At 41.4% G+C, this 13,070-nt stretch overlaps 2 protein-coding genes across 5 annotated transcripts in view, besides 3 other annotated features; one reads left to right on the forward strand and one right to left on the reverse strand.

Moving 5' to 3' along the window:
* The window catches only part of SPATA9 (spermatogenesis associated 9), a 79,922-nt gene extending 78,429 nt beyond the window's left edge, over positions 1-1,493 (reverse strand). For both annotated transcript variants that reach the window (NM_001349303.2, XM_047417809.1), the window contains exon 1: positions 1,084-1,493. The gene's annotated coding sequence lies outside the window, so the exon portion shown is untranslated. The remainder of the gene's footprint in view (positions 1-1,083) is intronic.
* RHOBTB3 (Rho related BTB domain containing 3) overlaps positions 1-13,070 on the forward strand; it is a 78,738-nt gene that overhangs the window by 12,986 nt on the left and 52,682 nt on the right. For 2 of the 3 annotated variants that reach the window (NM_014899.4, XM_011543279.3), the window contains exons 1-3: positions 727-1,075; positions 1,250-1,475; positions 6,280-6,466. In NM_014899.4, coding sequence (NP_055714.3) covers positions 1,074-1,075; positions 1,250-1,475; positions 6,280-6,466 — 415 coding nt within the window. In that variant the 5' untranslated portion in view covers positions 727-1,073. Of the gene's footprint in view, positions 1-726; positions 1,076-1,249; positions 1,476-6,279; positions 6,467-13,070 lie in introns of those variants that run through there. The other variant, XM_017009237.2, reaches the window with a different exon arrangement.
* Positions 150-359: an enhancer, noted in NCBI's record as "active region_22800". NCBI's record gives its function as "activates an Ori minimal core promoter by ATAC-STARR-seq in GM12878 lymphoblastoid cells {active_cell/tissue: GM12878}" and the evidence as "EXISTENCE:reporter gene assay evidence [ECO:0000049][PMID:35858748]".
* Positions 520-649: a silencer, noted in NCBI's record as "silent region_16186". NCBI's record gives its function as "represses an Ori minimal core promoter by ATAC-STARR-seq in GM12878 lymphoblastoid cells {active_cell/tissue: GM12878}" and the evidence as "EXISTENCE:reporter gene assay evidence [ECO:0000049][PMID:35858748]".
* Positions 710-1,089: a silencer, noted in NCBI's record as "silent region_16187". NCBI's record gives its function as "represses an Ori minimal core promoter by ATAC-STARR-seq in GM12878 lymphoblastoid cells {active_cell/tissue: GM12878}" and the evidence as "EXISTENCE:reporter gene assay evidence [ECO:0000049][PMID:35858748]".

The following is a 13,070-nucleotide window of genomic DNA, read 5'->3' on the forward strand; positions in this document are numbered from 1 at the left end:
AACTGGCATTTAACTTACCAACACGTTAAACCCCCATACATAACTTCCTTTAAAAACGATCACACTAAAAATCCCAGCATTTAAAATCCTGAAGTTTTCGGTAAAATACGCTAAATATAGCTTGAAATAGTAAATAATCCCCCCAAGGCGACATTAGCAAATTAATTGGTGTGTGAACAAAGAACTCTTTCTGCAGCAGCATGAATGTTGCCTTTATTTTTTCTCACAAGTATGATTTTAGAAAACAGCTGTAGCGCATGTTGACAAATGAGAAAGCGGCAGACGTGGTAAAGCACTTTCGGTCAAGGCCAAGAGGGGGGGAAATCGGGTTGCTGGGGCGGCACTCGGGCTGGAATCCCTAGCTTCCCTAACCTCCTTTTTCCAGTCCGGAGTGAGCGGGGGCCCCATCGCCCCACCCCCCTTTCCTGGCTCTGGTTACGGCCTTGCGAGTTGAACAAACTTGCTGCAGGCGGATTGGCGGCTGGGAGCTCTCGGGCTGGGGCGTTGTATTTATTAATTTATATTCCGCGGCGCCCCGCGCGGGCGGCTCCTTTGTGTCCAGCCGCCGCCACCGGAGCTCCCGGGGCCTCCGCGGGGAGCGCGTCCCCCGCATCCGCCCGACCCCCGGGGCTGGCACGTGCTGCGCCCGGTCCGCTGAGGGGGCGGAGGCCCCGATCTCCCCGACCCCCCTTCTCTGCTTAGAGGAGGAGGAGCAGCGGCAGCGGCAGCAGGAGGCGACAGCTGCCAGCCGAGGAGGCGCGGCGGAGAGGGGACTGCGGTCAGCTGCGTCCACTTGGGGCTGTGCGGCGGTCCCGCGCCCGGCGATGTTCCCGGGCACTCCCTGAGTAGCGGCAGCTTATCCCCCGCCCGCTAGCCCGCCCTGGTCCCCGGCTCGCTCGCTGGCTGGCGCGGCCCCGGCCCCGCTCTGCGTCGGCCCCGCCGCGGTGGAGGCGCGCGAGGGGGACGCGGCCGGGGATGAGCGGATTGCGGGTGAACTCGCCGCCCGGGGGCCCCGCGAAGCCGTGAGCCGCTGCTTTTCTCCGAGTCGCCGCCCTGCCCTTGGATTTGAGATCATGTACGTACGCGCCGCCGTCCTGCCATTGTCTCTCTCCAGCGCGTGCCGTGCGCCCCAGGGACAGGGGCTGGTGCCCATCCTCGCCGCGCGCTGTCCCCCGCACTTCCTGTTCCGAGGAGAGACCCGCGCGCTGACCGTGCTTCCCTTCTCCCCTCGCCCCCTCTGTCCGTGCAGGTCCATCCACATCGTGGCGCTGGGGAACGAGGGGGACACATTCCACCAGGACAACCGGCCGTCGGGGCTTATCCGCACTTACCTGGGGAGAAGCCCTCTGGTCTCCGGGGACGAGAGCAGCTTGTTGCTGAACGCGGCCAGCACGGTCGCGCGTCCGGTGTTCACCGAGTATCAGGCCAGTGCGTTTGGGAATGTCAAGCTGGTGGTCCACGACTGTCCCGTCTGGGTAAGGAAGAGCAGCTGCTCCGCGCTGAGGCTGAAGAAGCTTTTCTTTCCTTTTTTTTCCCCCTCCCCCTTCTGCCCACTTCCGTGAGTGTGGAGTGTCCGCGTTACATGGGTCAAATTTTTAAACATTTTTGAGAAAATCTTTGGTCCTTTGTTTCACTGGGCAGGGAACAGCCCTGTCAGAGAACACTCTTAGGAAGATAGAAGGCCCCAGTGGGAATGTGGAGCACTTACTGGTACACTTCACGACTGTGGGTTGACCCTTGGTAGGCAGCAGACAGTTGAATGTGCCAACTCCAAGGGACGGGGTCACTAAGTTTCATCAGCAAAAAGCAGTGTTTTTTTATGTCTACCCTATGGGTGATAGTGTAATATTGGTGTTCTAAAAATACATCCCTCTCAAAGCTCAACACAGGCAAAAATACTTTTCACTGGGACAGTTCAGAAATAGTTCCTCTGGAAAGCGGAGGAAAAGACAGGGACTGGGAGTTAATTTTAAATGACTCATTTATAGCACTATTAATTGATCTCTGAAAACTTAATTTTAATAATGCAAATACTCTTTATGTGTTAGCCATTTGTCTTAGTGACTCATAAATCAGAAATAACATTACTAATGTTGTTTGGAAAACTTTTAAAAAATTAAAATTTGTAATAATTGAACAAAATAGTAGTGAAGTGGATAAATTATAGTCCGATTCTTGAGTGTTTGATTAAGGGAGAAAGGAACTTACTTTCTGACACATATAAATATTTTCAGCATACAATAACATTATGTTTGAATGTTTTCCTTTAGTCTTATTTGAAAATCTTTGATTCTTTACTGATATTGGAGTTACGTATGTTTCAGCTAAATGTTACATTTAATAACAGAAGAAAGTTTAGTGCCTGAAAAGATACAAATTATCGTTGTGTAAGATTTCACATTTAAACAGCAATATTAAAAAAACTGAATTAGGACTATAGGAAAGTATCACGCCATTCTAAAAAATGTGTAGAATATACTTGGAAAAATTTCTTATGCAAAGTTCCACATAACAGAACGAAAAGATCACTCGCTCGTGTAAGTTTTCAGTTAAAGAAGAAAGTTATGTTAATTTGGTAAAATAAAAAACAGGCCTTTTCAATTAAGAGATACTATTAAACCCCTAGTTATGATAGTGATGATGCTGTTCATAAGAAGTATTGATGGAGAACTTACTGGTCAGAGTCTATGCAGGCAAATGAAACACTTCTTTTACTTGGGATCTTTCGTTGTGAAAGATCTTACAGCCTAAAAACATGACGGTTCAACATGCAGTTGAATAAATGTTTAGCGAATCGAGTAAATGTAGGGAAAATAAAACTAGCTACATTAGGATGTTAGGATTGCTTTCCCGTATTTAATTTGAGCTGTTAACACTTTCCTGTTTATACTGTTAATTTTGCAAACAGTAATGCTTGTGATCCCATACACTTTGTCTAGTAAAATGAAATCTTCCAAATGGAGAAAATAAACCTCTATAGTACGGATTTTTGCCATATGCTGGTTGTTATGGTTTATCTTGCTAATAACTTTTTGTTTGGTTAGACTCTGGCCCTATTTAAGGCACCAAGTTTGTAACCAGGTACAATTTTCTAGGTTATAATGATCTTCAGATATGAGATTCCATTTCTAGAGTTGCTCTTTATAAGGTGCTTTTCTTCACTTGGTGGTAAGTAAAGCCCATCAGAGATTCTAAAGCTGATTGCATTAATCAACTGTTATTTGACGTATGTACGGAACCAGAATATTAAATATAGCAGAGCAGATAGAGCATAGCCTTTGATATCAAAAGGATCTGATTTCAGATTCCCACATTGCCATTTCAGGTCTGTGTGTCCTTGTTAAATCACTTACCTTCTCTCAGCCTTATTTTCCCTATCTATAAAATAATATGCCTCCTAAAGCTGTGCTGAGAAGTGAATGAGAAACTAGCACGTGTCAAGTTCTAAGTATAGAGGCTGGCATTTAGTAGATGCTCTATAAGTGGTAGCTAATATAAAAATAAAGTGTTACAACTTTAGTTATGTATCACTTATATTAATACTAAGCAAAAGTAAGATTTTCACAGGTCATTCAAGATTTATACAACTACAGTACCAGTACACTGGGGCAGCGATGTTCATACTTCATACATGCAGCCCCACAATCAAGTAAAATAAAATAGTTTCACTGTAGAAATTCAGATTTTTTTTTTTAAAAGATGAGTTCAATTCTCCAAATGTGGCTCCAAGCCTTGTGTTGCATAACCCCGAGAGGAAACCCTGGAACTGATTTACAAGGGGTGGGAGAATTTGATTTTCTTCATAATTCTAGAAATCTTTGGAGTATTTTCTCTTTGGCATAGTTTGAGAAGAGATGTGTTGTTGTTGCCTTGAAGTTGAAATGAGGTAGCTGTGTTTCCCTTCCCTAGTTCTCTTCTATAGATCCTTAGCCTTACCCTGGATCCTTGCCTTATATACTTGGCACTTTTAAAACAAATGTGCTGCAGATTCATTAGATGTAGCACATTATTTAGTGTGTCTTTCTCTCTCTTTCCCATCCGTTTTTTTGGTGTGGTACATTATTATTTCATTTCACGTTTCTATATCTTTTACTGTTTATTAAAAATATTCCACAAAAAGCAGTGAGGTAGTTTAATAGATTTACAGTTTTCTTTGCAGGGTTTGAAGCTCTGATTTGGATTACAAATTAAGTATTTATAGTCTTCACATCCTCAATCCCACAGAGTTAAGGATGCCCAGACCCATTTTTTCATAACATTTTCCCTTAAAGGTCCTCCCCTTCCCCGGATACCTCTCCAGTAACTCTGGAATTTTGAACTATTTGGAATTCAAAAAGCAGCTACTTTTGATTTATTCTCTCAGAGTTAAATGGCTGCTTAATATTGGCCCCACTTTTGTTTAGTTTTTTATCTCATTTGTCTTCCTTGTTATACTTACGCACTCTGTTATACTTGGATACTTTGAACTTGAACGCTGTAACAGATGCAGTTGGAACTGAATGAGCTGTGTGGTTTGGGATTTGGCAGTTTGAGAGTTCTGCTGGGAAGCTTTCCCATTTTTCTGCACTGTGTCCCACTTCCCTTCTGCCCCCTTGCACCCTCTACCAAGTTCAACCCTTTGCCTTTGTTGTTTATAGTCCATATTTTGCCTTTTTTTTTTTTTTTTGGTTCTTTTACCTCCCTTCAAAAATACTGTACACATCCCAGTTTTGATAGGGTATTCATGACAAAAAATTCTGCAGTTCTTGTTACTCTGAGTGTACTTGTGGGAAATGAGTGGCTGGGAGGGTATGGGGAACTGGGGGAGGCACTGATGAGAAGAAGCTCTCTCTTCAGAAGGGCATTGCTGTGTGATACTCCTCCAGAATGTGCCATCGTAGGATAAAAGCTCTGTCACATAGACCTTGGTTGGCTGATTCAAACACTGTTAACCCTGTTTTAGACTCATATTTCAAAGTTTGAACTTTCTTAGCTCAACAGCTTTTGGACCTGTTAGTCAGACCTAGCTATTTTCTTAATCTAGCTTTATTACATCCTAGAAATGTGTACCAAAGGCCACATAAAAAGACAAATGATTAATAGTTAACTAGAATGTGAGAAGAAAACTACTTGTACATTATTTGGTAGTGGAGTTAAGATACCTAAAGATATTTTCCTTACATCACTATTCATACAGAAACTGAAAAATTATATGTAAAATATCAACCCAGGCCAGGCACGGTGGCTCATGCCTGTAATCCTCACACTTTGGGAGACCGAAGTGGGCAGACTGCCTGAGCTCAGAAGCTGGAGACCAACCTGAGCATTGTGGTTGAAACCCCATCTCTGCTAAAGTACAAAAAAATTAGCCGGAATGGTGGTACACACCTGTAGTCCCAGCTACTCGGGAGGCTGAGGCACAGGAATTGCTTGAACTTGGGAGGTGGAGGCTGCAGTGAGCCGAGATCGCACCACTGGACTCCATGCTGGTCGACAGAAAAAAAATCAAAACATTATATTTTTAAGGAATAGTGTTTGTAATAAATTACTTACTGGCCCCAGTTCTAAATAAATATAAATGTTATTAGCTGTAGCACAAAAGTAAATATTTCAGAACTAGAAGAGTTTATCCTGAATTTTTAATTTATGTAGGCAAAATACGTGAATTGAAAATATATTCCTTACCATGTTAACACCTTGTAATACACAGTATCTCTTTTTTTAGTAAAGGAATTTCTCCCTCACCCCACATTCATACTCTTTATATACAGTACTGTCCAAAGGATGGATAAAGTTGAAAAGTATACATGAATTTTGAAAATATGAATAAAGTATATGGAACTTCACAGAATTTAAAATGTATTGCAGTTCAGAACACTGAAAATCCTGCAGTGTCTAACTGGGTCAGAGGAAAACCTTTGAAGCTTCGTTACTCATACTGTTGCTCTTCCATCTAATGCCATAATGTTACACTTTTGAATTTATGAGGTGATAAAAATATAGTGTAATTTTAAAACAAAGGGCTTATTTTTAAGTGCAAATAGTGAAAGAGGTTGCTTATTTTATCTGACTCTCAAGAATTCTCAGGTTCTCCTGTTTAACCATTACATAATTGTCCAGGCTACATGAGTAAGTAAACATTTTTAAAAAGAGAGTTGGCAGACTGCAACACTTTTAATTTCAAGTAGTTACTTATTTTAAAATAATTTTTTATGAATTCCAAAAATTAATGTCATAAATTATTTCAGGATTGATTGGACGATAAGTAGACTAAAGATTGCTATTTGCATTTTGGTTTAGGACATATTTGACAGTGATTGGTACACTTCTCGAAATCTAATTGGGGGCGCTGACATCATTGTGATCAAATACAACGTTAATGACAAGTTTTCATTCCATGAAGTAAAGGATAATTATATTCCAGTGATAAAAAGAGCATTAAATTCAGTTCCAGTAATTATTGCTGCTGTTGGTACCAGACAAAATGGTAAGTATTTAATATTCTTTTTTGTAGTGAGCATGCAAATATTATATATACTTTAAATAGTGCTAAGTTTATTAATGGATAATAGGGTTTGTTTTTGAAAACCAAAATGACTTTGGTTCAATGCCAGCTGCTATCGCTTCATCATTTGATACGATAAAAAAACAACAAAGGAGAGGATCATGAACTTCTGCTGTGATTCCACTGGGTGCAAATCTGTCTTCTAAATGGCTCTTCTACAGTAGTGATGGAAGTCAGCAATTGTATTATTTTGACATATGAGAGGTATTAGGCTGATGCTGAGCCCTAGAAAACTCTTTTTGATGATCTGAAGGTCTACCTGATTGGGAAGGATAGATTGTTCACATGAAGATGTGGGCTTGGGAGCAGGATTTTTAGGTAGATAACAATGAGTGAGCTGGAAACACTGACAGTGCTGCCTAAAAGAAAGGATTGCTTATTCCATGGCTGATAGATTCATTGGGTTCAGGCTGCTTCAGCCATTGCTGCTGTGCATATTATTGTCAGATATCTTAGGGCCAACTCAGGATTCAGTTTGATTTGGTGGTATTTTACAGATCTTCTTAGTGGTATTTCCTAGTAAAGCTATTTTTAAAATTTTATTTTTACACATTATTCTAAAAACTTTTAAATTGAGGTATTGCGAAGTAAAGGACATAAGGTTTACTGATCTTAGAGTGCAGCTAAATGCATTTTTACCTATGTATACAGCCACGCAACCCACATACATCAAGGTATAGAACATTTGCAGCACTTGAGAAGGCTCCCTCATGCTCTTCCCAGTTAATAACGCTCCTCCTCAGAGGTAACTGCTATTCTGACTTCTAACAACACAGATTAGTTTTACCTATTTCTGAACTTCATACAAATGAAATTATATGGTATGTAGTAGTGCCTTAGGTTAGGCTAATTTCAGTTAGCATAATACTTTTGAGATTTGTCCATGTTGTGTTTATCTGTAGTTTGTTCTTTTTATTACTATATATTAGTCCATTGTATGAATATGCCATAATTTATTTATCCATTCTTCTTTTGAGGATGCTTAGGTCGTTACCCAGGAGCGGGATTGTTGGGTCAGAGGGCAGGTATATATATAGCATTAGTAGATACAAGTAAGGCAGGCATGACCTACCCGTGACCCCATATCCCCTCTACTTCCCTATCTTTCTTTTTATTTCTGGTCATGATTCATAAAAGAGTTATCTGCACTTCCTGAGTCCATTTCCTATTCATTCTTCAGTCCGCTACAGTCTGACTTTGACTTTCACAAGTGCACCAAGTTTGTTCTCCCTCAGGGTCTCCAGTTGCTGTGGTCTGAATTTGTTCCCCAAAGTTCATGTGATGGCACAGTGTTGGGCAGTGAGACTTTAGGAGGTAATTAGGGCAAGAGGACTCTGCCCTCGTAAATGGATTGATGCTATTATCTTTAAAGTGGGTTAATTATCATGGGAGTGGGCTCCTGATAAAAGGATGAGTTTGGCCCCCTTCTGCCCTCTGTCTTGTGAGCTCTCTTGTACTTCTGCCTTCCACCATGGGACGATGCAGCAGGAAGGTCTCACCAGATGCTAGCACCTTGATATTGGACATCTCAGCCTCCAGAACTGTGAGAAATAAATTTCTTTTCTTTATAAATTACCCAGTCTGTGGTGTTCCATTATAGAAGCACAAAACGGACTAAGACACCACTTATGTCCTCGTTAGCCAAATTTAATACACTTTAATAACAATTATCTCTTATCGAAGAGATAAGAGATAATAATACTTATCTCTTGTTGAAATTATTGAAACATACCTCTCCCTCCATTTAATAAAGCTACTGGTTCTTTTAACTATCTGTCTCCTTTGCCTTTCTCCCCTCCTCCCACACACACACAGCAGAATTGTTTCCCAGGGTTCCGTCCTTTGACCTCACCTGTTCTTACTCTTCAGCCAAACCATTAACCTGCTAATCTGTTGTCCTGGCTTCTCCTATATAAACACCGATAACTGTTCAGTCTGTCTCTCTGGCTTTAGTCTTGCTCCTGGCACATATCACCATAGACATCATCTTCCTCTGGCCAAATTTCCTGTCTTGGTGAATGATGCCAGTCCTATCCATTCACCCAAACAAGAATCATCCTAGACCCAGCCCGATTCCGCATATCCAGTTGATTAAGAAGCCCTTTTGCTTTTACATTTTAAACAAATCTCAAACTCATTACTTTCTCTTCATCTCCATTGGATTTCGCATTCTAGTCATTTAGTTATTTGTCATGGTGGCCTTCTTTTTGGTCTCTTTAAGGGATGGTTTCAGATTTTGTAGGGCCTCAAACTTACACAATTTGGGAGGTCCTTCATAAGGAAAAAAACCCACAAAATAACAGATACATATATGTACAAAAGTAAATATTTAGAATGATAAGTGAAAGCACAACAAATTACAACTAAAAAGTTGTCAAATACTACAGACATTTTTAAATGTATGTATATATTTTTGAGACAGGGTCTTGCTCTGTTGCCCAGGCTGGAGTGCAGTGGCATGATCATAGCTCACTGCAACCTGGACCTCCTGGGCTTGAACGATGCCCCCCACCTCAGCCTCCTGAGTAGCAAGGACTACAGGCACGTGCCACCACACCCAGCCAGTTTTTTTATAGAAACGAAATTCTGCCGTGTTGCTCAGGCTGGTCTCCATCTCCTAGACTCAAGCCATCTGCCCCCCTCAGTCTCCCAAAGTGCTGGGGTTACAGGCGTGAGCCACCACACCTGGCAACAGATCTTTTTAACAGCCTGATACTTCTTCAACTTTTCTTATGTTTTTTGGGTGACCATAGTCTTTGGTCATCTCTTCATATGATAACCACTGATAGGTTATGGCTGTGTCCCCACACAAATCTCACGTTGAATTGTCATAATCCCCATGTGTCATGGGAGGGACCTGGTGGGAGGTGGTTGAATCATGGGAGCGGGTTTTTCCTGTGCTATTCTCATGATAGTGAGTAAGTCTCATGAGATCTGATGGTTTTATAAAAGGGCAGTTCTGGTCATGCTCTCTTGCCTGCTGCCATGTAAGATGTAACTTTGCTCCTCCTCCACCTTCCATCATGATCATGAGGCCTCCCCAGCCATGTGGAACTATGAGTCCATTAAACTTCCTTTTCTTTATAAATTACCCAGTCTCAGGTATGTCTTTGTTAGCAGCATGAGAACAGACTAATACAACCACTTTATGATATTTTCTATAGAGATGAGAATGATAATCAGTGGAATCTGATTATCAGTTATCACACACTCAACTATACATGGAAGTGACTATAAACCACAAATAGTTCATTAAGCCTAAGGTTAAATTCCCTTTGGCAACATCCCCCAAATGCCCACAGTTACTCCAGAGCTGCCTGATACAAGATGAAGTGATTTGGAGTGGAAAGAGACAATAGTCTTGACTAAATATCTTAGTTTGCAAATTTTACAAAAGAATATGACCATGTGAAGATATATTGCTCAGGTTCTTCCTGGGGCTTGGAAAGGATCCACAAGAAAAGAGTCTTGAAGCTTGAGCTTCATCAGCTTTATGGTAAATTGGCCTCTGGTGTGCTATTCCTGGTTTGTCTCTTTCTGAAATAAATTCTCTCAGAATAGTTATCCTAGAATACAAGTCAGATCATGGCGCTCAATGCTTTGAATTCTTTGAGAACTTTCTTCTTTGCCTCTTATTTTGCAAAATTTCAAACCTAAGAAAGTTGACAAGAATAAGACATTGAACCCTAGATTTTATAAACACACACACACACACTTTTTTTTGGCTGAACTATTTGAGAGTGAATTGTAAACATTATGAGATTTCTTTATTCCTAATTACTTTAGCATGTATCATCTAAGAACAAGGCCGTTATCTTATTAAGCCTAATACAATCATCAATCAAGAAATCTAACATACTATTACATTTTTACTATTATTTAAGATATAATCTGGCCAGGCGCAGTGGCTCACGCCTGTAATCCCAGCACTTTGGGAGGCCGACGCGGGTGGATCATGAGGTCAGGAGATCGAGACCATCCTGGCTAACACGGTGAAACCCGGTCTCTACTAAAAATATGAAAAATTAGCCAGGCGTGGTGGCAGGTGCCTGTAGTCCCAGCTATTTAGGAAGCTGAAGCAGGAGAATGGCACGAACCCAGGAGGCGGAGGTTACAGTGAACCGAGATCGCACCACTGCACTCCAGCCTGGACGACAGAGCGAGACTCTGACTAAAAAAAAAAAAAGAAAAGAAAAAAAAAAGAGATAGAATCCATATTTTCATTTCCCCGGTTGTTTCCTTATAATGTGCTTTATAGCTGGGGTTTATCATTGTTGTTGTCTTTTAACCAATCCAGGATGCAATTAAATATTACACATTACATTTAGTTGTTATATCTCTCAATTCTCTTTTTTTTTTCTTTCTTTCTGTTTTTTTTTTTTTTTTTTTTTAGAAACAGGATCTTGCTGTGTTGCCTAGGCTGGTCTGAACTCGGGCCTAAGCAATCCTCCTGCCACAGGCTCCCAAGTAGCTAGGATTATAGGCATGCATGACCACATCTGCCTTCTAATCTCTTTTAATCTGGAGCAGTACGCCCAGTGGGTTTGGGGGGAGGGACCGTGTCTGTCATAATATGAACATTTTTAATGAGCCCAGGCCCTTTAGTTTGCATAATTCCTTCATTTATGATAAATGTGCTTGCAAAATAGTGATGTTTCTATCGTTCTTCCTATACTTATTGGTTGATATTCTTCTGTAAATGGAGCTTTCCTTTTTCTCTGCTCCCAAATTTTTCTCTTAGAATTATTATGATTCATGGATTTCTATTTTAAATTCAGTATTTTGTGATCTGTTCTGATTATTCTTTTGGATGCTCACATTGCTCCATATTTGCTTGCAGGGAGTCATTTCAAGCTACCTCTAATCAGTTTTTAGCCCCTTCCTTATTTTCTGGCACAAGATATTCCAGGCTCAGACTTTGCCTATCCCAGTCCTAGAATCAGCCATTTCTTCAGGAACTCTGGTTCCTTCTAGGGGGCAATGATATTTAGAAACCAAGGTCTGGGCTCTAGGATGCTCATGACTTTAGGTGTCTTTACTTCTGCGCCCTTTAATTGGCTAGAGCTAGGGATTATACTTTTTATTTAAATTATGGGCACTGATGCCCTTATTTCAATCTGGTATTCGTATCTCATTTCAATAACTTTTTCTTGTAAAATCTTTACCTGAAATACAAGATCCTTCATGAGGTAGCCTCTGACTGTTTCTATAATCTTGCAGGGCACAATCCCCTGCCTTATGTATCAGTCACACTGAACTACTTGAAAAACTTAATGTCTTTCTTTAGGTCTAGGAAAGTCTTAACTGTGTGACTTCAGATATCACCATCCATCCATTTTCTCTATTCTCTTCTTTTGGGACTTTTGTTAGACTGATGTTGGAACTTCTGGATCTCTTCTCTGATTATTTTATCTTTCTTTTATATTTCTTATTGCTTTATTTCTTTGTGTTGCATTATGGGAGAGTTCCTTGGCCTTTTCTTCTGGTTCACACATTAGTTCTGCTGGGTCTGTTCTGCTATTCTGCCTTATTAAATTTTTTATTTCAAAAGCTTTTCATACCAGATCTCTAATGGCTGTTTTCATAAGTTCTTGTTCCAATCTTAAGGATGCAAACTTTTATTTAAAAAAACTCTCAGACCAGGCGCAGTGGCTCATGCCTGTAATCCCAGCACTTCGGGAGGCCGAGGCGGGCGGATCATGAGGTCAGGAGATCAAGACCATCCTGGCTAACACAGTGAAACCCTGTCTCTACTAAAAGTACAAAAATTAGCCAGGCATGCTGGCGGGCGCCTGTAGTCCCAGCTACTCGGGAGGCTGAGGCAGGAGAATGGCGTGAACCTGGGAGGCGGAGGTTGCTGTGAGCCAAGATTGCGCCACTACACTCCAGCCTGGGGGACAGAGCGAGACTCCATCTCAAAAAATAAAAAAATAAAAAATAAATAAAAAAAACTCTCAGGATAATTAATGATGCTTAATAATTCAGTTTTGATTTTTCTATTAAGTTTGGTTTTAAGATGGCATTATAAGTCGTTCTACTTGATGAGATTTTATTTTATGGTATGGATACTTCTTAAACATTGGGGAATTCTTAATTTGCCTACTTTTGCAGTTGACTTTCCTTGTTGGATTGATGCCTTCCTCTTTCTCTGCCCAGCTGCTGTCTGGGGATGGGGGTGTAAGTAGGAAAACACCCAGGATCAACAGGCTTGGCTGCTTCCACTGGGGTTCTCCCACTCATCCCCAGTCATTTGCCTTTGGGCCGCCTCCTCCTTGTTGCTCCCTGCATTGTTGAGCAGGGAGCACTCTAGGTGTGGCTGCAGTGTGAGCCTGTACTCAGAGCTTCAGGAGGCCTCTTCGGTCCTGTACTGCCTGCCTTCATTCTCTCAAGCACTCCTAGTTTCTGGGCTGATGAGGTTTCCCCTCTAGTTTTTGAGTGTTGCTGTGTATTCAGTCCTTCCTGCCTCCCTCCCTGTCTTTCTCCCTCCCTCTCTTTCTCCTTCCCCCTTCCTTCTTTCCTCCCCTCT

The sequence above is a fragment of the Homo sapiens genome, chromosome 5 (assembly GCF_000001405.40).
Source record: "Homo sapiens chromosome 5, GRCh38.p14 Primary Assembly".
Lineage (NCBI taxonomy): Eukaryota > Metazoa > Chordata > Mammalia > Primates > Hominidae > Homo > Homo sapiens.